The sequence below is a fragment of the Homo sapiens genome, chromosome 2 (assembly GCF_000001405.40).
Source record: "Homo sapiens chromosome 2, GRCh38.p14 Primary Assembly".
NCBI lineage: Eukaryota > Metazoa > Chordata > Mammalia > Primates > Hominidae > Homo > Homo sapiens.
Window position 1 is genome coordinate 17,882,640 of NC_000002.12, and position 24,567 is coordinate 17,907,206.

Here is a 24,567-nt window from a genome sequence, read left to right on the forward strand (position 1 = left end):
AAGCTGGGGAGGAGGAGAAAGAGGAGAAGAGTGTTGTTGTTTTATTGTTTCAGGGGCCTGCTGTTTTGTGAAGCCTGGAGTGAATACTCAATTATCATGAACATAATAACAAGGCTTAAAATGTACAACAAAATGTAGAAACTGATTTAGAATTTTCATCCCTGTTTTTCTTTATCATTTCTCTAGATCATCTTTTGAAACTTTTTAGCATATCTGCACATTATACTTTTTTTTCACAGTTGTTAAGAGGATCAAAATCTACACATTATAAAAGTAAACTCTTTAATAAGCTAAAATAGTTACTAGGCTAGGTTGTGGTATTTTTCTTGTGGGCAAGAGGTCTCATTCTCTTTGGAATCCTGCACAGCCTTGCACTACGATTTGCTTTGAGGAGATACTGTATAAATATTGTCTTCAGTTGCACAAGTATTGAACGATAAAGGCATAAGATCTGCTTTTAGCCAATAATGTTACAGTTAAGCAGTTAATGTTGGCAGCAGCCAGCCTCAGTGAGTTTGGTGAAGTGCCAAATGAATGAAGTATCTTGCTGAGTATTCTACTAATCAGCCATCCGAGGACTTACCAGATGCTCACCAAAGGTGACATAATGATTAACTTATATAGTCACATATATGTATTCTCATTATATATTCAAATCCGTGCATACATTCATTCAACAAGTATTTGAGTACTTACATGATGTTATGTACTATGCTAGGTGCTGGGTATACTGTGGTAAAGGAAACGGTGGGGGGTTGGGGTGGGGTGGGGTGGGGTGAGAAGTGGGAGGGAGACAGGCATTAAACAAACCAATGCAAAATTTAAGTAGTGGTAAGTTCTCTAAAGGACTTCATGGGAGAGAGTAACAAGGGTAGGGAGGCACTAGTTTAGATGAGAGGGTCAGAGAAGACCTTTCTGAGGAAGAGACATTTCATTTTGAGTGATAAAAGGAGTCCATTAAGTGAAGAGTGGGAGAAAGATAATTCCAGGCTGAGGATTCTAAGGCAGGAATGAGCATTGAGCCTCTTTTTGTTCTATGCAGGAACTTCAAGAGAACAAGGGTGGGAACAGCTGGGAGGAGGTTGTAGAAGAGGGCTGGGGTCATCCCATTACTGGGTATATACCCAAAGGATTATAAATCATGCTGCTATAAAGACACCTGCACACGTATGTTTATTGCGGCACTATTCACAATAGCAAAGACTTGGAAACAACCCAAATGTCCAACAATGATAGACTGGATTAAGAAAATGTGGCACGTATACACCGTGGAATACTATGCAGCCATAAAAAAGGATGAGTTTATGTCCTTTGTAGGGACATAGATGAAGCTGGAAACCATCATTCTCAGCAAACTATCGCAAGGACAAAAAACCAAACACTGCATGTTCTCACTCATAGGTGGGAATTGAACAATGAGAACACTTGGACACAGGAAGGGGAACATCACACACCAGGGCCTGTTGTGGGGTGGGGGGAGGGGGGAGGGATAGCATTAGGAGATATACCTAATGTAAATAACGAGTTAGTGGGTGCAGCACACCAACATGGCACATGTATACATATGTAACAAACCTGCACGTTGTGCACATGTACCCTAGAACTTAAAGTATAATTAAAAAAAAAAAAATATATATATATATATATATATATATATATATATATTTAAAAAGAAGAGGGCTGGGGTCAGATCAAGCTGTGCCCTTTAGGTCAAGTTCAAGGTCTTATGGTTTATTCTGAGGGCTGTGAAAAATGGATTTGCAGAAGGTGAGTGTCACAAGCCAATTTAAATTTATACAAGATTGCCTGGGAAGGCTGTGAAGAACAGATAGAAGAATAGACTGAAGAGGTACAAGCATGGGAAGCAGAAGCCTCGTTTGGAGGTGTGTTGTGTGTTGCAGAAGTGGAACCTAAAGTGAGATTGGCCTGGGTTGAAAGATGAATGGAGGTGAGGAAGTGCAGACCATACACATAAAGCTTGGTTGTGAAAGGGAGCAGAGAGACAGGATGGGTGTAGGGGCAGGTTTGTGTCTATGTGGAAGGCAACCTTGGCTGAGGTTAGGGATGTGAGTCCAGCTCGTTGGTAAATTAACAGATATATACCTCTGTGTATAGAGTTATAGCACTTCTAGAACATTAGACATTTGAATCCTATCTCTGGCTTTATCTCAAAATCTAGGTAACTTTAAGCATATCACTTTGAGTACTTCTAGAAGATTAGACATTTGAATCCTAGCTTTGGTTCTGTCGCCAAATCTGGGTAACTGAGCATATTGCTTGTCCTTCCCTGTTGTTTTTTTTTTTTTTTTTTCCTCACTGCCTGGTGATTTTATAATTTTTTTAAAAATGCAGTCTTCCTGCAATGTTCTTTAATAGCATTATTTATATGTGTTAATGTGGGTTATTTTTTATAAATTGAATTAGCAGAACTATGAATGGGGATGTAGGAACATTTGTGGTAGGATTCTAAGCATTTGCTCATTGTTGATCATGGATAAGCTGCTTTCAAATTAGCTTAAATAGAGAGACACTAATAATAAAGTCTAGTGGTGAGGAGACAGTAACCCTTCCAATGTAGATGGGATAAGGACTGATGGAGAGTCCTGGGCATGGTTATGAGCCACTTTTTGTGTTTCAGTGGGACTCCTCCTTACCTGGTCTTCTTCATTGCATGAGACGCTTCCTCTGTACGCATGGATATCTGTTAAAAAGATGATAAGAGAGGTACATCTGGTCTGTTTTCTGAGAACCCATTTGTGTTAGAGTTTTCTAGACAAACAGAACCAATAGGCTGTGCATATGTGTAGAAAGAGATTTATTCTAAGAAATTGGTTCACGCAATTATGGAGACTGGCAAGTCCAAAATTTGCCGGATGGGCCAGCAGGCTGGAAACCCAGGAGAGCCAACACTCCACTTCAAGTTTGGAGGCAGTTGCTATACAGCCTGGAAGAGCTGATGTTACAATGAAGTCCAAAGGCAGGCTGCTAGAAAATTCTTTCCTGTTTGAGGGGGTCCAGGCTTTTTGTTCTGTTCAGGCTTTCAGCTGATTTAATGAAGCCCACCAGCATTATAGAGGGCAGTCTGCTTTACTCAAAGTCTACCAATTTATATGCCAGTCTCTTCCAAAATACCCTCACAGAAACACTGAGAATAATGTTTGACCAAATGTCTGGGCACCCTGTGACCCAGCCAAGTTAACACATAAAATTAGCCATCACATCACATTTAACAGAATATACTGGCCTAAACATCAATAATGACCGTCACAGATAACCTGATGGGGCATTAAAGAAGGATAGAGTATCCAGTGATCAATTTGTAGTTGTAGGGAATGAGAGTATAAATAGGGCCATAGAGCCTGGGCAACAGAGCGAGACTCCATGTCAAAAAAACAAATACAAACAAACAAACAGGGCCATAGAACGGAAAGTTATTCCAAAAATCAGTCAAGTCATTTGCTGCCTCTGGACTTTAGGAATGCTGGCTTAAATCCTGACAAATAATTAGTGTATAGAGATAAAAGAATGCCAGCAGACTAAATTTGGGGCTTCAACATGCTTATATATTTTTTACTTTTATTCTGCTATGCACTGGATTGGCTTTCCTAAGTCCTGATGGACATGCCATGGTGAACCGAAAAGCATTTCCTATGATTTACTTGAGATAAAAATGTAACTGGCCAAAGAGATGGGAGAACTTCATGGTTGAATACTGTTGTTTGTAGATTTGGATTGAGTGGAGATGTTGTAGCAAAGGCATTTCATTATTCTTGTCTTTGAGTTCAGACAAAACACTTCTTGGAAGTATTTTTTTTGTGGGTTTTTAAGATCTGAGTTTTCTAAGTATGGTACCTTCGTGAGGCCACTGATGTAAGACCCCAGTCTTCCCTTGGTGCTCAGATGTTACGAAGATGAGATTCAGCCCTGAGGCTCAGGCTTGAGCTTCCATGACAGAGCTTGTCTCCTCTGGGATGAAAGGGTAAAAAGAAAGGAAAGTACCATGTATGGCAGTGTTCATCTGGGTGTCCCCATCCATCCGTCCGTCCATCCATCCATCCATCCATCCATCCATCCATCCCATTCTTCCACCACCCATTTAAATGTCCATCCATCCATCCATCCATCCATCCATCCATCCATCCACCCACCCACCTACCCACCTTTGCCACAGTGTAAAAAGGTATCAGGGTCCCCATGCCCTCTCATCTTCTCCTTAAATCACAATTCCTACAAAGTAGGCTCTTTTAAGATGTGAACATAGGAGTCTTGTGAAAGTTTATGCAAAACCTGAGAACTTTGTTTTTTAAGCAGGTTCCCCAGACTTGTTGATGTAATTAGAAATTGAATGTCAGCATGGTGCATCTTTTTGGTGATGAGAACCGAATTTTCTTCTCCCAGCCTCTCTAGACTTAAAGCAGCACACGTTGCTTTCTCATGTAATTTTTATTTTATTATTTTTTCTCTTCTATTATTATTATTGTTTTTATTTTTCCATAAGTTATTTGGGTGCAGGTGGTATTTGGTTACATGAGTAAGTTCTTTAGTGGTGATTCGTGAGATTTTGGTGCACATATCACCTGAACAGTATACACTGCACAATATTTGTACTCTTTTAATCCCTCCCCCACTCCCACTCTTCCCCCTGAGTCCCCAAAGTCCATTGTATCATTCTTATGCCTTTGCATCCTCATAGCTTAGCTCCCACATATCAGTGAGAACATACGATGTTTGATTTTTCCATTCCTGAGTTACTTCACTTAGAATGATAGTCTCCAATCTCATTCAGGTCACTTTAAATACTGTTAATTCATTCCTTTTTATGGCTGCGTTGTATTCTATCATATGATCTATCTATCTATCTATCTATCTATCTATCTATCTATCTATCTATCTCTGTATCTATATATATATCACAGTTTCTTTATCCACTCATTGATTGATGGGCATTTGGGTTGGTTCCACGATTTTGCAATTGTGAATTGTGCTGCTATAAACATGTGTGCAAGTATCTTTTTTGAATAATGACTTCTTTTCCTCTGGGTAGATACCCAGTAGTGAGATTGCTGGATCAAATGGTAGTTCTACTTTTAGTTCTTTAAGGAATCTCCACACTGTTTACCATAGTGGTTGTACTAGTTTACATTCCCACCAGCAGTGTAGAAGTGTCCCCTGTTCACCACATCCACTTCAACATCTACTGTTTTTTGATTTTTTTATTATGGCCATTCTTGCAGGAGTAAAGTGGTATCACATTGTGGTTTTTATTTCATTTCCCTGATCATTAGCGATGTTGTGCATTTTTTCATATGTTTGTTGGCCATTTGTATATCTTCTTTTGAGAATTGTCTATTTATGTCCTTAGCCCACTTTTTGATGGGATTTTTTGTTTTTTTTGTGCTGATTTGTTTGAGTTTGTTTTTGTCGTAGATTCTGGATATTAGTCCTTTGTCAGATATATAGATTGTGAAGATTTTCTCCCACTCTGTGGGTTGTCTGTTTACTCTGCTGACTGTTCCTTTTGCCATGTGAAAGCTCTTTAGTTTAATTAGGTCCCAGCTATTTATCTTTGTTTTTATTGCATTTGCTTTTGGGTTCTTGGTCATGAAATCCTTGCCTAAGCCAATATCTAGAAGAGTTTTTCCATTGTTATCTTCTAGAATTTTTGTTATTGTTCCAATGCTATCTTCTAGAATTTTTATAATTTCAGGTCTTAGGTTTAAGTCCTTAATACATCTTGTTGATTTTCGTATAAGATGAGAGATGAGGATCCAATTTCATTCTCCTACAGGTGGCTACCCAATTATCCCAGCACCATTTATTGAAAAGGGTGTGGAGTGGGGGGAGAGGGGAGGGATAGCATTAGGAGATATACCTAATGTAAATGATGAGTTAATGGGTGCAGCACACCAACATGGCACATGTATACATATGTAACAAACCTGCACGTTGTGCACATGTACCCTAGAACTTAAAGTATAATAAAAAAAATGTATATATATATATATATATATATATATATATATATATATATATAAAGAAAAGGGTGTTCTTTCCCCACTTTATGTTTTTGTTTGCTTTGTTAAAGATGAGTTGGCTGTAAGTATTTGGGTTTATTTCTGGGTTCTCTATTCTGTTCCATTGGTCCATGTGCCTGTTTTTATACCGGTACCATGCTGTTTGGTGACTATGGCCTTATAGTATAGTTTGAAATCAGGTAGTGTGATGCCTCCAGATTTGTTCTTTTTGCTTAGTCTTGCTTTGGTTATATGGGCTCTTTTTTGGTTCCATATGGATTTTAGAATTGTTTTTTCTAAGTCTGTGAAGAATGATGGTGGTATTTTGATGGGGATTGCATTGAATTTGTAGATTGCCTTTGGCAGTATGGTCATTTTCAGAATGTTGATTCTACCCATCCATGAGCATGGGATGTGTTTCCATTTGTTTGTCTTGTCTATGATTCCTTTTAGCGGTGTTTTGTAGTTTTCCTTGTAGAAGTCTTTTGACTCCTTTGTTAGGTATATTCCTAAGTATTTTATTTTTTTTGCAGCTATTGTAAAAGGGGTTGAGTTCTTGATTTGATTCTCCGCTTGGTCGCTGTTGGTGTATAGAAGAGCTACTGATTTGTGTACATTAATCTTGTATCCAGAAACTTTGCTGAATTCTTTTATCAGCTCTAGGAGCTTTCTGGAGGAGTCCTTAGAATTTTCAAGGTAAACGATCATATCACCAGCAAACAGTGACAGTTTGACTTCTTTCTTAGCAATTTGGATGCCCTTTATTTCCTTCTCTTGTCTGATTGCTCTGGCTAGGACTTCCACTACTATGTTGAAGAGGAGTGGTGTGAGTGGGCATCCTTGTCTTGTTCCCGTTCTCAGAGAGAATGCTTTCAACTTTTCCCCATTCAGTATTATGTTGGCTGTGGGTTTGTCATAGATGGCTTTTATTACATTAAGGTATGTCCCTTGTATGCCGATTTTGCTGAGAGTTTTAATCATAAACGATGCTGGATTTTGTCTAATGCTTTTTTTGCATCTATTGAGATGATCATGTGATTTTTGTTTTTTAATTCTGTTTATGTGGTATATCTCATGTATTGACTTGCATATGTTAAACCATCCTGGCATCCCTGGTATGAAATCCAGTTGATCATGGTGGATTATCTTTTTTATGTTGTTGGATTCAGGTAGCTGTATTTTGTTAAGGATTTTAGCATCTATGTTCTTCAAGGATATCGGTCTGTAGTTTTCTTTTTTGGTTATATCCTTTCCTGGTTTTGGTATTAGGGTGATCCTTGCTTCATAGAATGAATTAGGGAGGATTCCTTCTTTCTCTATCTTGTGGAATAGTGTCAAAAGGATTGGTATCAATTCTTCTTTGAATGTCTGGTAGAATTCTGCTGTGAATCCATCTGGTCCTGGACTGTTTTTTTGGCAATTTAAAAATTACCATTTCAATCTCACTGCTTGTTATTAGTCTGTTCAGGGTAGCTAATTCTTCCTGATTTAAGCTAGGAATGTTGTATTTTTCCAGGAATTTATCCATCTCTTCTATGTCTTCTAGTTTATGTGAGTAAAGGTGTTCATAGTAGCCCTGAATGATCTTTTGTATTTCAGTGGTGTCAGTTGTAATATTTCCTGCTTCGTTTCTTAGTGAGGTTATTTGGATTTTCTCTCTTCTTTTCTAGGTTAATCTTGCTAATGGTCTACCAATTTTATTTATCTTTTCAAAGAACCAGCTTTTTGTTTCATTTATCTTTTGTATTTTTTTTTTTTTGTTTCAATTTCATTTAGTTCTACTCTGATCTTGGTTATTTCCTTCTTCTGCGGGGGTTGGGTTTGGTTTGTTCTAGATTCTCTAGTTCTTTGAGGTGTGACTTTAGATTGTCTGTTTGTGCTCTTTCAGACTTTTTGAGGTAGGCACTTAGGGCTATGAACTTTCCTCTTAACACTGCCTTTGCTGTATCCCAGAGGTTTTGATAGTTTGTGTCATCATTGTCATTCAGTTTGAAGAATTTTTAAATTTCCATCTTGATTTCATTTTTGACCCAATGCTCATTTAGGAGCAGGTTATTTAATTTCCATGTATTTGCATGGTTTTGAAGTTTCCTTTTGGAGTTGATTTCCAGTTTAATTCCACTGTGGTTTGAGAGAGTGCTTCACATAATTTTAATTTTCTTAAACTTATTGAGGCTCATTTTATGGCCCATCATATGGTCTATCTTGGAGAAAGTTCCATGCATTGAATAGAACGTGTATTCTGTGGTTGTTGGATGAAATGTTCTGTATATATCTGTTAAGTCCATTTGTTCCAAGGTATAGTTTAAATCCGTTGTTTCTTTGTTGACTTTCTGTCTTGATGACCTGTCTAGTGTTGTCAGTAGAGTATCGATGTCCCCTGATATTGTTGCTGTCTAGCTCACTTCTTAGATCTGTTAGTAATTGTTTTATAAATTTGGGAGCTTCAGTGTTTGGTGCATATATGTTTAGGATTGTGATATTTTCCTGTGGGGCAAGGCCTTTTATAATGTCCCTCTTTGTCTCTTTTAACTGCTGTTAAAGTTTGTTTTGTCTGATATAAGAATAGCTACACCTGCTCACTTTTGGTGTCCATTTGCATGAAATGTCTTTTTCCACCCCTTTACTTTAAGTTTCTGTGATTCCTTATGTGTTAGGTGAGTCTCCTGAAAGCAGCAGATAGTTGGTGAATTCTTATTCAGTTTGCAGTTCTGTATCTTTTAAGTGGAGCATTTAGGTCATTTACATTCAATGTTAGTATTGAAATGTGAGGTACCATTGCATTCATCGTGCTCTTTGTTGCCTGTGTAGTTTTTTTGTTTGTTTGTTTGTTTTTGCTTTTTAACTTGTATTTTTGTTTTGCAGGTCCTGTGTGATTTTTGCTTTAAAGAGGTTCTGTTTTGATGTGTTTCCAGGATTTGTTTCAAGATTTAGAGCTCCTTTTAGCAGTTCTTATAGTGGTGGCTTGGTAATGGCGAATTCTCTCAGCATTTGTTTGTCTCAAAAAGACTATCTTTTCTTTATATATGATGCTTAGTTTTGCTGGATACAAAATTCTTGGCTGATAATTGTTTTGTTTGAGGAGACTGAGGATATGGCCCTAGTCCCTTTTAGCTTGCAGGGTTTCTGCTGAGAAATCTGCTGTTAATCTGATAGATTTTCTTTTATAGGTTACCTGGTGCTTCTGTCTCACAGCTCTTAAAATTATTTCCTTTGTCTCAGCTTTGGGTAACCTGTTGACAGTGTACCTAGGTGAAGATCTTTTTATGATGAATTTTCCAGGTGTTCTTTGTGCTTCTTGGATTTGGATGTCTAGGTCTCTAGCATGGCCGGGGAGGTTTTCCTTTATTGTTCCCCCAAATATGTTTTCCAAGCTTTTAGAATTCTCTTCTTCCTCAGGAACATTAATTATTCTTAGGTTTGGTCATGTAACATAATCCCATACTTCTTAGAGGCTTTGTTCACATTTTCTTATTCTTTTTTCTTTGTCTTTGTTGGATTGGGTTAATTCGAAGACCTTGTCTTCGAGCTCTGAATTTCTTTCTTCTGCTTGTTCAATTCTATTGCTGAGAATTTCCAGAGCATTTCACATTTCTAAAAGTGGGTCTGAAGTTTCCTGAAATTTTTATTGTTTTTTTTTTAAGCTATCTATTTCCTTGAATATTTCTTCCTTCACTTCTTGTATCATTTGTTTTTTGGATCTCCTTGCATTGGGCCTCACCTTTCTCTGGTCCCTCCCTGTTTAGCTTAATAACTAACTTCCCAAATTCTTTTTCAGGTAACTCAGGGATTTTGTCTTGGTTTGGACCCATTGCTGGTGAACTAGTGTGATTTTTTGGGGGGTGTTGAAGAGCCTTGTTTTGTTATAGTACCAGAGTTGATTTTCTGGTTCCTTCTCCTTTGGGTAGGCTCTGTCAGAGGGAAGGTCTAGGGCTGAAGGCTGTTGTTCAGATTCTTTTGTCCCACTGGGTGTTCCCTTGATGTAGTACTCTCCCCCTTTTCCTATGAATGTGGCTTCCTGTGAGCTGAACTGCAGTGATTGTTGTCTCTTTTCTGGGTCTAGCCACCCAGCGAGTCTGCCCAGCTCTGGGCTGGTCCTGGGGGTTGCCTGCACAGAGTTCTGTGATATGAACTGTCTATGGGTCTCTCAGCCGTGGATACCAGTGCCTGTTGCAGTGGAGGTAGCGGAGGGTGCAATGGACTCCATGAGGATCCTTAGCTTTGGTGGTTTAATGCTCTATTTTTTTACTGGTTGGCCGCCTGCCAGGAGGCGGCACTTTCAGCTGTGCTAGTATGGGGAGGAACCAGCAGTGGGTGGGGCCCTAGAACTCTCAAGATTATATGCCCTTTGTCTTCCATTACCAAGGTGGATAGGAAAGGACCATCAGGTGGGGGTAGGGCCAGGCACATGTGTCTGAGCTCAGACTCTCCTTGGGTGGGTCTTGCTGTGGCTGCTGTGGGGGATGGAGGTGAGATTCCCAGGTCACTGGAGTTGTGTACCTATGGCTGCCTCTGCTGAGTCATGCAGGTTTTCAGTTAAGTGGGGGAAAGCTGGCAGTCACTGGCCTCACCCAGTTCCCATGCAAACTGAAGGGCCGGTCCCACTCCCACCCTGTCCCCTCCTACAGCCTGGAGTCTGTTTCCAGGTGGAGAGTGAGAGGGTCTTGAAAACTTGCCCGAGGCCATCTGCCTCCCAGCTGAGAAAGAAAGGGCTTTAATTCTTCCTGGCCTGTGAAGTCTGCATGCCGGATTAGGATTCGCAACCTCTCCTGAGTTCTGGCCAGGGGGCTTCTCGCCCCGTTCAAATTGTTACAGAGTTTGCCTAGAGAATTCCTTCTCCTTGTTGAATTTTACCCCCTGCATCTCTGGGCACCCTCATGATGGATCCCCGTGGTGCCAGGCAGGAATGGACTGCTTGGGGACCCAGTGAGCTCCCAGGGCTTTTCTGCTGCTTCCTCTGTATTTCGCTCGGCTCTCTAACTTGACTCAGCTCCAGGTAAAGTTGGAAACTTCTCCTGCAAACAGACCTTCAGCTTCTCCACTGGGGGTGTGTGTTTGGGGGAGGAGGGTCTACCTTTCCCACTTCCGCAGTTGGGGCACTCACAGTATTTGTGGGTCTCCTGGGTCCTGCAGGAGCAGTCCGCTTCCTTCAGAGGGTCTGTGGTCCTCTCAGTATTTCTGATTTGTTCTTGCAGCCAATCTGAAGCTAAAATTCACAATGCGAGCCTCCACATGCCGGAGCTGCAATCTAGTCCTTCCTCCCCTCTGCCATGATCCCAGGAGCCAGTTTTTTTTTTTTTTTTTTTTTTTTTTAATATATCTATGTATGGGGGTTTGAAGTAAAGAGTACAGGATGGACAGTTTAATGTGGCCCTGAATTCCAGTAGATTTGCTTTTAGTTGCTTTTTACCAGTCATCCCTATAACCCACATCAATGGAGTTAAGAATACATAAGCAAGCCCTGTTTTACAGTCCTTCATTTATGTTATGTGAGCAACTCAGAAACAATTTCCATGCAGACATCATTAGACACTAGGATTAGGTTTCAGACTGCCCCACCAAAGCAGATATAAGCCCTAATGAGTGCACAGTGACATGGTTTTGAGTACCAGGACCGGAGCACTATATGATGTAGAAGGGAGGAGATGAGTTTTCTCTCCTAGGAAGGGGGCCACACACTTGCACCACACACCCATCCATGCAAACACACACCCTAGATGGGGCAGTGCTCACTAATGTGGACTGCTTAGCTAATTTGATGTAAGTAGACAAACCACAAAAGAGCATATTATATTTTTTTGTGTAACAGACAATAACAGTCCTCCACAAACCCTGTTCAGGCCATTCTACTGTGACCTTCTTCAGATACCACCAAATAGATTGAGTGTGGAACTATTTCAAATTTCCCTTGTTAAACTGACTTCAGTAGGAAACTCACAGAAACTTTGATTGTGAACATCAGGTAGAGAAAGCCACGTTTTACTCCAGATTGCCTGGGGTTTGTTTTTCCCAAGTGTGCATTTGTATTTGCTGTGGAGTGAGAACTTTCTGCATGGCAGAAGGAAAGCCTGCACCTGTTCAGAGATGGTGCCTACAGCCATCTCCTGAGGCTTGGCCCTGAGCCGGCTAACATCACTGCTGGGCTTGTTGGAGGGTGTGGGTGTTCTTCCAAAGACCTCCTTTGCTTCCTCAGCTCAATTCTACCTTGTTCTTTCTTGTATGGAGAACTTGGAAACTCAGAGAGCTGGGTGAATTTAGAAAATGGGCTGGAGAAAGGATAGGTGTGAGAATTCATTTTAATAAGTCAAATTTAAAACTTTTTTGACTTGCATTGCCTGGGGATCTCATTATTTTATAATTTTTTTATATTGATGAAGTGTAGGATTAGTTATAATTGATAGTTCTGGGCAAAGCGTTTAAAAAATCCTCCCAGGATAGTTTTCAGGGACTGGATACGGATGTTTGTGAAGCATAAACACATTTTCACTACCTTCCAAAGAATGGTCTAGATGCTATATAAACCATCATATTTATTATATCTTTTAAAAAGTTAAGTAAAGCTTTTTTTTTAACCTCATGAAGTAAATAGTCACTCTGGCAACATACTACAGCAATAGACACTTCGCCCTCTGAGAGTTTTGCTGTAAATATGCTGAAGATTTATATAGCTTGGCAAAAACCACTCTGTTTTCTTCTAGCAGCAATAAACACTTTTCTAAAATCCTTTGGAAATTCTACAACATGTCAGGTGCTCAGATGGGGTATAGAAAAACAACAGCTTAGTCAGACATTGAATCACCATGTCCTGGAGTCCCTAAGAAAGCCAATATGGTGAGAAGGTACCTCCCAAGCAGCCCTCTCCACAACATTTTGAGCAGGAAAACCCTTGTTTTTTCCTTTAAGTGGAATGTTCATTTAGTAAACTTTCACTGGACATCTCCCACGTGTTTACTGTGTAGCAGGCACTGATGCCACCATATGTCAGTGATATTGCCAAGAAATACCATTCTGCAGGCACAAAGGTGAGGTGCTTGTGTAGCATTAGGTGCGTGTATGAGGGAAGGAAGGGAGTACACTGGGAAAGTTTCCTGGAAGAGGCGACATTTGGACTGATTTCTTGAAGACAGAACTGGAGTTAACTGGAAAAGAAGGGAAAAGGACACTTCAATCAGAGAGAACAGCTTCGATGAGGTTTGGAAGGGAGAGTGTGTGGTGCAGCTGGGGATGGTAAATAATTTGATGGAGTAAGGCAGAGGTATGAGGTATATTGGTGGATGCTGAGGCCAAACAGACAGGATAGAGTTTAGACTCCATCCTGAAGATGCTGGGAAGCTATTGAAGATTTACATAGAGTATTGGCATATTCTGACCTATGTTTTTATTTCTTTTGTTTATTTCTTTTTATTTTTTAGAGATGGGCTCACTCTGTTGCCCAGTGGAGTGCAGTGGCACAATCATAGTTCACTACAGCCTTCAACTCCTGGGCTCAGGCGATCCTCCCACCTCAGCCTCTTGAATAGCTGGGACTATAGGCTGGTACCACCACATCTGACTCATTTTTTATTTTTATTTTTTTGTAGAGGTGGGATCTTGCTGTGTTGCCCAGACTGGTCTTGAACTCCTGGACTCAAGCAATGATTCTTCTGCTTCAGCCCCCCTAAAGTGCTGGGATTACAGTTGTGAGCCACTGTGCCTGGCCTGTGACTTATAGTTTAGAAAAGTCCCTCTAGCCATCCACGGAGGGGCAAAGGGCATTACAAGTAGAAGCAAAATGATGTCACTGGCTTATGTACTGGTGTGACTTTGGGGGCATTGGAGACGGGCCTCTGTCACCCAGATAGTTAATTGGTTTTGTTCCTTGATGGCTGAAATTCCTTAGACTCTTTTTTTTTTTTGGAATTGAGAATTCTGGGAAGATTGAGTGGAATTTTTGGCCACATGTCTGTTTCATCTTCCTGAGGTCCCCCTAATTCCCTTTGGGTAATTATACTGCACTGTTGAATATTGACTTTGTAAGTAACTGTGAAGATCTCCCAAGAGGTTCCTTCTGCCAGCTTCTTCTCCCTGCCCCAGTATAGCCACTGGGTGGACAGGTGGTATGGGCTCAGCCAGTCTGATACTGTCAGTTGAGTGACTTGAGAATGGAAGAGACCTCTAGAGTGAGTTCTTTCCTATGCTGGCTCTCTGAAGAGATCTCTTCCTCTATAAATTATTCCTATAGTTTCTTTTTTTCATTTTTTCAACTTTTATTTCAGGTTCAGGGAGTATGTGTGCAGGTTTGTTTACCTGGGTATATTGCTTGATGCTGAGGTTTGGGGTATGATGGGACCAGTTACCCAGGTAGTGAGCATAATACCAAATAGGTAGTTTTTCAACCCTTGCCCCCCTTGCTACCTCCCCCATCAGTAGTCCACATTGTTTATTGTTCCCATCTTTATGTCCATCTTTACCCAATATTTAGCTCCCACTCACATAAGTGAGAACATGTGGTATTTGATTTTCTATTTCTGTGTTAATTCTCTTAGGATAATGGCCTTTAGCTGCATTCATGTTGCTGCAAAGGACATGATTTTGTTCTTTTTTACAGTTGTGTAATATTCCATGGTGTATATGTAGCACATTTCCTTTATCCAATCCACTGTTGATGGGCAACTAGGTTGATTCCATGTCTTTGCTATTGTGATTAGACCATGAAGAACATACAAATGCATGCGTCTTTTTGGTAGAATGTTTATTTTCTTTGGATATACCGGTAATGAGACTGCTGAGTTGAATGGTAGTTCTGTTTTAAGTTCTTTGAGAAATCTCCAATCTGCTTTCCACAATGGCTGAACTAACTTAAATTCCCAGCAACAGTGTGTACTCAGCAACCTTGCCAGCATTTCTCTGATCATCGGTGATGATGAGCATTTTTTCATATGTTTGTTGGCCACTTGTATGTCCTCTTTTGAGAAGTGTCTGTTAATGGGGTTATTTGTTCTTTGTTGTCAATTTAAATTTCTTATAGATTCTGGATGTTAGTCTTCTGTCAGATGCATAATTTGCAATTTTTTTCTCCCATTCTATAGGCTGTCTGTTTACTCTTTGATTGTTTCTTTTACTGTGCAGAATCTCCTTAGTTTAATTAGGTCCCACTAGTCAATTATTTTTGTTAAAATTACTTCTGAGGACTTAGCCACAAATTCTTTGCCAAGGCTGATGTTGAGAAAGGTATTTCCTTTAATAAATGACTTCTAGAAAGAAAACCCAGGTTTTCTTCTAGGATTTTTATGGTTTGAGGTCTTACATTTAAGACTTTAATCCATCTTGAGTTAATTTTTGTACATGGTTATAAGTAGGGGTTCAAATTTGTTCTTCTGCATATGGTTAGCCAGTTATCTCAGCACCATTTATTGATTAGGGAGTCCTTTCCCTATGGCTTATTTTTGTTGACTTTGTTGAAGATCAGATGGTTGTGGGTATGTGGCTTCAATTCTGGGTTCTCTGTTCTCTTCCATTGGTCTGTGTGTCTGTTTTTATACCAGTACCATGCTGTTTTAGTTACTGTAGCCTTGTAGTATAGCTTAAAGTCAGTAATGTGATGCCTCTAGGTTTTTTTTTTTTTTTTTGCTTAAGATTGCTTTGGCTATTCAGGCTCTTTTTTTGGTTCCATATGAATTTCAAAGTAGTTTTGTCTAATTCTTTAAAAATGACATTAATAGTTTGATAGGAATAGCATTGAATCTATCTGTAGATTGCTTTGAGTTGTATGACCATTTTAATGATATTGATTATTCCTGTAATTTCAACTTTCAGGTTCCTCAGAAGGGCCCTGACTCCTGCCTGTTTCCAGGTGTGGCTTTTCAGGCTTCTCTTTGGTTCTAGGAGCTTCACATAGCCATCTGAAAAAATTACATTTGTTTGAGTTAGCTGCAACCAGTTGCTGCTGCTTGTGTCCAAAGAACCCTAATAGATGTAGGAAACATCCAGAGGTCTTACTTCACACCAGAGTTTAAAGACTAATCTCCTAGCCTTTCCTACTGGTTTGAAAGGGGCGCAAGGAGAGAACACGAGGACATTATTTTCAGAGAGGGAGCAAGGATGTTCTCAAAGGGGCAGAGGAAACTAAATCCCTGCAGACCAACTTTGCTGGCATCCCAGTATTGCTGCAGGCTGGTCTTGCTCCAAGGTCTACCTAGAGTGGGTCAAATTAGCATCAAATAGGTGGCAGCATTTCCTGTGTACTTTCAATTCCAGTTCTTTCTCAGATGGCACTCAGGGCTCTGGCAATACTTAGTGAAAAAATAACAATAGACTGGGTGCGGTGGCTGAGGCCTGTAATCCCAGCACTTTGGGAGTCTGAGGCCGGTGGATCACAAGGTCAAGAGATCGAGACCATCCCGGCCAACATGGTGAAACCCCGTCACCACTAAAAATACAAGAATTAGCTGGGTGTGATGGAGCACACCTGTATTCCCAGCTGCTCAGGAGGCTGAGGCAGGAGCATCGCTTGAACCCGGGAGGTGGAGGTTTCAGTGAGCCGAGATCCCACCACTGCACTCCAGCCTGGCGACAGAGTGAGACTCTGTCTCAAAAATACAAAAGACAAAACAAAACAAAACAAAAAAACCACAATAGTAAATATTGATATAGCACTTACATAATGTGCGAGACACTGTTATAAATGTGATCCACATATTAACCCATTTATTTCTTATAATCAAATTTTGATGTAGGTACTATTATCTTATTATATTATTATTATATTACATCTATCTTTTGCTGTCAGTCATCTATCTATCTATCATCTATTTATCAACAGATGAAGAAACCTCAATGAACAATTCTAATAATTTAGCTACATTATACAAACAGAAAGTGGTAGTTACAGAATCTGTGCTTTCACTCCTGGATTCAAATCTTAGCTCCACTTCTTTTTGGCTGGGCAAGTTATTTAACCCCTGAGGCCTCAGTATCCTCGTTTGCAGAGTGGGACTAATAATAGTATCTATTTATCTAGCATTAGGTAGCATAAAGTAAAATGCTTCAAATAGTGCCTGGCACAAAGTAAGCACTATATAAAGGTTTTCCAGAAAAGTTATTTTGTAATGGACATTACAAAGAAGACTGAACATACATACTTTATAGAGATAAGCCCATAACAAACTGTGACTCTTCTATTTATCCCAGTGCTTTGTAGATGTTTTGTAGCTCTTCACAGAAAGGGCATGAGGTGATATAAGTAATTGGTATTGTTTAAACACTCATTTAGGGAGATAAAGCCAAAATACAGTTGAATTTAAGGGCATGAGCCTGCTGTGTCAGGACAGACAACAACCACCCCCTACAGAAGCAAAGAGTACGATGTGCCTCCCCAGTATGGGGCTCATTGGAGAGCGGGCGTGGTCTCTGTGGCTGCCACCTCTGCTTTCCATTTAACTATTTGAAACCTCAATTTCCTCATTCATAAGTGGGGAATCATCTTAATGCCTGGTTCTCTGCATTGATCTTGGGATTAAAAAAGATTGTTTGCTTATTCATTACTTTTGGCTGGGCATTAAGGATACAAAAATTAAGAAAAAATAGGCCTACCTTTGCAGAGCTCACGGTGCAGTGTGGAGACAATGAGTAAACTGTTCTACTGCATTTCAGCAAGTTAAGTACTCTGATGGAGGCAGGTACTGGTAGGTGGGATGCAGTGGAAGGGAGCCTGGTTTTGAGGTAGGGAGAGGTCTGGGGTCTGGGGTTGGTTCTGGAGAATATGATAGAGCTGAGTCTTGAAGGACATTCTGAGCAGACCAAACAAGTGCAGAGACCTGGAGTTGTGAGAAGTTGGAGCATTTTCGGAGATTTTCATTAATTTTATTTTTGGTGGGGGATGGAGTCTCGCTGTGTCGCCCAGGCTGGAGTGCAGTGACGTGATTTTGGCTCACTGCAACCTCTGCCTCCCAGGTTCAAGCAATTTTCCTGCCTTAGCCTCCTGAATAGCTGGGACTACAGGCGTGTGCCACCATACCCGGCTAATTTTTGTATTTTTAGTAGAGACAGGGTTTCACCATGTTGGCCAGGCTGGTTTCGAACTCCTGACTTCAGGTGATCTGCCTGTCTCGGCCTCCTAAAGTGCTGGGATTACAGGCATGAACCACCGCGTCTGGCTGTTTTTCACTAATTCTTTATTGTTCTAGAGTTTCAGTTGGTTTGTGACAGGCAAGGCTAGTGGATAAGGAATAATAATAATAACAATTATAATAGCTAACATTTAATTGAACATTTTTATATCCCAAGCACAGAGTGTTTTATTTGTATTATCTCATTTTTAATCCTCATAACTTCTCTGTGGTATCTGATATTTAGTATCCATGCTTTATAAATAGGGAAACTGAAGCTCAAAGAACCTAAATGACTGACCCAAGGTCACACAGCTAGTGAGTGCCGAATCCAGGATACCAACTCAAGCATTCTGGATCCAGAGTTTACCCTAAAGGCCGAAAGAGCCATGTGGGGACTTTAAGTATGGTGAGTAGGGTATAATTTAATCCAATGTGCATGTTAAGGGTAACTTCAGCTTAGTGTGAAGGAAGAAATTGAGGGTAGGGAATGGAAATAGGCCTAAGGCATGGGGGACAGTTAGGTGTCTGTTGTGGTGAACCAGTGGAAAAATACCGAGTATCTGGATTAAGGCAGATGCAGGAGGGATAGAAAAAAAAATCGAGTTGAGAGGCAATGGGGATGTGTATTTGCTTGCCCTCAGTGCTGGCTGGCTGCCAACAGGCCTCCGTGGCGAGGGAAAAGGAGGAGCCTAGGATGATCTCCAGGTGTCTGGCCTGAGTAAGCGGGTATGAAGGGAATAGAGGATGAAGGGAAAATGTGGATGTGCTTATTGTAAGCCCCCAGTGGGACATTCAGAAGGACACATCTGGTAGGCAGCTCTGTGAGTCTGGAATGCAAGAGGGAGACTGGGCTGGAGATGCACATCTGGGCTCCACTGTCAGATGACATTGGCTGATGAGAAGAGCAGAGGCACAAGGAGGAGGCCATGGTGGTGGGTGAGGCTGGGTGGGGAGATGACACAAAGCTGGAGGCCTGCAGATTGTGTCCAGGCTGCAGATGTCTTCAGCTTGGTTGATGATATTAAAACAGGAAGAACCATAGTTGCCAACATTTAAAAAATTGGGGAAGTTTTTTATAAAAATAAAATTTGTTGGTGTTCTTGACAAACTAGGTGATCTGGCCACGTGATACCCACAGATAAGGGACAACAGTTGGCCAGTGCCCTCCTTCAGCAAGACCGGTGTTCCCTAGTAGTTACAGTGGCCAGGTGTCCTCCTCCTCTCATTTTGGGTCCCTGCCTTGCTCCTGCAGACATTTTATTAATATTTTGTGACCCCAGATTTAAGATTTGGGAAGAGGACACAGAGTTTCACAGAAAACTAAACATGAGTAGTCAGACAAGTGGGAGAGAACACAGCAAATGGTGTTAGTGAATTGCAGAAGCAGAGGAGGTCAGTAGGACAAATGCTATGGACAGATGCAGATATGCAGATTGGGAAGTGTCCTTTCGGTTTGGTCACCTGGAGATGCCCTTAGCAAAAACGCTTAAAAATGGGGTATTAGGTCAAGAATTGTAGAATAAAAGGAAGGGTGAATGTAGAAAATAATTTCAAGAAGCTGTGTTACAGAGAGGAATTTGAGGTTGGGAGACTGTGTGTGTGTGTGTGTGTGTGTGTGTGTGTGTGTGTGTGTTTTAATGTGAGTGACTTGAGTATGTCTATATAAAGATGTATTTGACATAAAATAGTACTTTATTTGTCCTTGACTTACATTTGATAAGAATTACAAAAGGTCTAGTCTTAGCTTTGATTGACAGATTATTCTAAAACTGGTGGTTTTTATGAAAACAAAGCCCTCCAGCTTATAGGATGGGATAAAGTGCTTTTTATACATCTATGCGAAGACAGCCCTGCCCCTTTAGATCTTTACTAGTGTTAAATGCATTTTTTACTAGTTTAATATGTAAGCAGCCATGCCTTAAGATGGGTAATTTTACATTTTAACAACTGTAGGTTAAGTCAAGCAGTGTTAATGTGGTGATTTGCCACGTACACTTACTCATGAGTGTGTGCATTGTCCATTTCCTTTTAGTATTAGCCAGGTGGAATCTGTATGATGATCTTATCAGCCAGCATCACTTCTATTACAATCTGGGTTAGTGTGCTTTTATTGATTTTATGCCACATCCCCAATTTTTCCATGTACTTTTTGGTATTTGTTTTATGATATAATTTGATCCAGCCAATAACTTGTAGGTGTATGTATATTAGAACTTATCTATCTTGTCTTTAATAAAAACTCTCCTAATTAAGGAAAAACATGTACCTGCCATCTGCAGTGGTTGATAAATAAGCTACTTGTCTTCTGTGGTGACCACCATTTCAAAAGCACGTTTGTTGTGATTTTTCTTTTTTCCCAGTTAATGCAGTGGGCAAGAGAGACTTTAAAATTTCATACAGAATGGAAGCAGCCAGTAGCTAAGCTATTGGCAAATGTCAACCAACTCATTAATTCATTAATTCAGCAAATAAATTGTTAAGAATTTACCATGTGTCACATGAAGTTCTAGGGACTGGAATGCAGTGATATGTAAGACAGACACAAATCCCTGCACTCAGGGAGCTCATATTGGAGTGGAGAAGCAAACAGTAAATAAGACAATGAAATTAAAAAGTATATGTCTAAGTATATTTTTGAGAGTGATAAATGCTGTGGATTAAAAATAAAGCAAGGAAGGGGGTTGAAGTTTTAGGGGGTTATTGACATTTTATTTTATTTTATTTTTTATTATACTTTAAGTTCTAGGGTACATGTGCACAGTGTGCAGGTTTGTTACATATGTATACATGTGCCATGTTGGTGTGCTGCACCTATTAACTTGTCATTTAACATTAGGTATATCTCCTAATGCTTTCCTTCCCCCTTCCCCCCACCCCACAACAGGCCCCAGTGTGTGATGTTCCCCTTCCTATGTCCAAGTGTTCTCATTGTTCAGTTCCCACCTATGAGTGAGAACATGCGGTGTTTGGTTTTTTGTCCTTGTGACACTTTGCTGAGAATGATGGTTTCCAGCTTCATCCATGTCCCTACAAAGGACATGAACTCATCCTTTTTTATGGCTGCATAGTATTCCATGGTGTATATGTGCCACATTTTCTTAATCCAGTCTATCATTGATGGACATTTGGGTTGGTTCCAAGTCTTTACTATTGTGAATAGTGCTGCAATAAACATACGCGTGCATGTGCCTTTATAGCAGCATGATTTATAATCCTTTGGGTATATACCCAGTAATGGGATGGCTGGGTCAAATGGTATTTCTAGTTCTAGATCCCTGAGGAGTCGCCACACTGACTTCCACAATGGTTGAACTAGTTTACAGTCCCACCAACAGTGTAAAAGTGTTCCTATTTCTCCACATCCTCTCCAGCACCTGTGGTTTCCTGAACTTTTTAATGATTGCCATTGTAACTGGTGTGAGATGGTATCTCATTGTGGTTTTGATTTGTATTTCTCTGATAGCCAGGGATGATGAGCATTTTTTCATGTGTCTTTTGGCTGCATAAATGTCTTCTTTTGAGAAGTGTCTGTTCATATCCTTCGCCCACTTGTTGATGGGGTTGTTTGTTTTTTTCTTGTAAATTTGTTGGAGTTCTTTGTATATTCTGGATATTAGCCCTTTGTCAGATGAGTAGATTGCAAAAATGTTCTCCCATTCTGTAGGTTGCCTGTTCACTCTGATGGTAGTTTCTTTTGCTGTGCAGAAGCTCTTTAGTTTAATTAGATCCCATTTGTCAATTTTGGCTTTTGTTGCCATTGCTTTTGGTGTTTTAGACATGAAGTCCTTGCCCATGCCTATGTCCTGAATGGTATTGCCTAGGTTTTCCTCTAGGGTTTTTATGGTTTTAGGTCTAACATTTAAGTCTTTAATCCATCTTGAATTAATTTTTGTATAAGATGTAAGGAAGGGATCCAGTTCCAGCTTTCTACATATGGCTAGCCAGTTTTCCCAGCACCATTTATTAAATAGGGAATCCTTTCCGCATTTCTTCTTTTTGTCAGGTTTGTCAAAGATCAGATGGTCGTAGATGTGTGGTATTATTTCTGAGGGCTCTGTTCTGTTCCATTGGTCTATATCTCTGTTTTGGTACCAGTACCATGCTGTTTTGGTTACTGTAGCCTTGTAGTATAGTTTGAAGTCAGGTAGCGTGATGCCTCCAGCTTTGTTCTTTGGGCTTAGGATTGTCTTGGTAATGCGGGCTCTTTTTTGGTTCCATATGAACTTTAAAGTAGTTTTTTCCAATTCTGTGAAGAAAGTCATTGGTAGCTTGATGGGGATGGCATTGAATCTATAAATTACCTTGGGCAGTGTGGCCATTTTCACAATAATGATTCTTCCTATCCATGAGCATGGAATGTTCTTCCATTTGTTTGTATCCTCTTTTATTTCATTGAGCAGTAGTTTGTAGTTCTCCTTGAAGAGGTCCTTCACATCCCTTGTAAGTTGGATTCCTAGGTATTTTATTCTCTTTGAAGCAAGTGCGAATGGGACTTCACTCATGATTTGGCTCTCTGTTTGTCTGTTATTGGTGTATAAGAATGCTTGCGATTTTTGCACATTGATTTTGTATCCTGAGACTTTGCTGAAGTTGCTTATCAGCTTAAGGAGATTTTGGGCTGAGATGATGGGGTTTTCTAAATATACAATCATGTCATCTGCAAACAGGGACAATTTGACTTCCTCTTTTCCTAATTGAATACCCTTTATTTCTTTCTCCTGCCTGATTGCCCTGGCCAGAATTTCCAACACTATGTTGAATAGGAGTGGTGAGAGAGGGCATCCCTGTCTTGTGCCAGTTTTCAAAGGGAATGCTTCCAGTTTTTGCCCATTCAGTATGATATTGGCTGTGGGTTTGTCATAAATAGCTCTTATTATTTTGAGATACATCTCATCAATGCCTAATTTATTGAGAGTTTTTAGCATGAAGGGCTGTTGAATTTTGTCAAAGGCCTTTTCTGCATCTATTGAGATAATCATGTGGCTTTTGTCTTTGGTTCTGTTTATATGCTGGATTACGTTTATTGATTTGCATATGTTGAACCAGTCTTGCATCCCAGGGATGAAGCCCACTTGATCATGGTGGGTAAGCTTTTTGATGTGCTGCTGGATTTGGTTTGCCCGTATTTTATTGAGGATTTTTGCATCGATGTTCATCAAGGATATTGGTCTAAAATTCTCTTTTTTTGTTGTGTCTCTGCCAGGCTTTGGTATCATGATGATGCTGGCCTGATAAGATGAGTTAGGGAGGATTCCCTCTTTTTCTATTGATTGGAATAGTTTCAGAAGGAATGGTACCAGCTCCTCCTTGTACCTCTGATGAATTCGGCTGTGAATCCGTCTGGTCCTGGACTTTTTTTGGTTGGTAGGCTATTAATTATTGCCTCAATTTCAGAGCCTGTTATTGGTCTATTCAGGGATTCAACTTCTTCGTGGTTTAATCTTGGGAGGGTGTATGTGTCCAGGAATTTATCCATTTCTTCTAGATTTTCTAGTTTATTTGCATAGAGATGTTTATAGTATTCTCTGATACTAGTTTGTATTTCTGTGGGATCGGTGGTGATATCCCCTTTGTCACTTTTTATTGTGTCTATTTGATTCTTCTCTCTTTTCTTCTTTATTAGTCTTGCTAGCGGTCTATCTATTTTGTTGATCTTTTCAAAAAACCAGCTCCTGGATTCATTGATTTTTTGAAGGGTTTTTTGTGTCTCTATCTCCTTCAGTTCTTCTGTGATCTTAGTTATTTCTTGCCTTCTGCTAGCTTTTGAATGTGTTTGCTCTTGCTTCTCTAGTTCTTTTAATTGTGATGTTAGGTTGTCAGTTTTAGATGTTTCCTGCTTTCTCTTGTGGGCATTTAGTGCTGTAAATTTCCCTCTACACACTGCTTTAAATGTCCCAGAGATTCTGGTATGTTGTGTCGTTGTTCTCATTGGTTTCAAAGAACATCTTTATTTCTGCCTTCATTTCATTATGTACCCAGTAGTCATTCAGGAGCAGGTTGTTCAGTTTCCATGTAGTTGAGTGGTTTTGAGTGAGTTTCTTAATCCTGAGTTCTAGTTTGATTGCACTGTGGTCTGAGAGACTGTTTGTTATAATTTCTGTTCTCTTACATTTGCTGAGGAGTCCTTTACTTCCAACTATGTGGTCAATTTTGGAATAAGTGTGATGTGGTGCTGCGAAGAATGTATGTTCTGTTGATATGTGGTGTAGAGTGCTGTAGATGTCTATTGGGTCTGCTTGGTGCAGAGCTGAGTTCAATTCCTGGATATCCTTGTTAACTTTCTGTCTCGTTGATCTGTCTAATGTTGACAGTGGGGTGTTAAAGTCTCCCATTATTAGTGTGTGGGAGTCTAAGTCTCTTTGTAGATCTCTAAGGACTTGCTTTATGAATCTGGGTGCTCCTATATTGGGTGCATATATATTTAAGATAGTTAGCTCTTCTTGTTGAATTGATCCTTTTACCAT

The 24,567-nt window shown here is 40.1% G+C and overlaps 1 protein-coding gene across 4 annotated transcripts in view; it reads left to right on the forward strand.

Moving 5' to 3' along the window:
• The window catches only part of KCNS3 (potassium voltage-gated channel modifier subfamily S member 3), a 55,112-nt gene that overhangs the window by 4,793 nt on the left and 25,752 nt on the right, over positions 1-24,567 (forward strand). The window contains exon 1 of one of the 4 annotated variants that reach the window (XM_047444255.1): positions 18,485-18,509. The exons of the other annotated variants lie outside the window; for them this stretch is intronic. The gene's annotated coding sequence lies outside the window, so the exon portion shown is untranslated. Of the gene's footprint in view, positions 1-18,484; positions 18,510-24,567 lie in introns of those variants that run through there. 4 annotated transcript variants of the gene reach the window in all.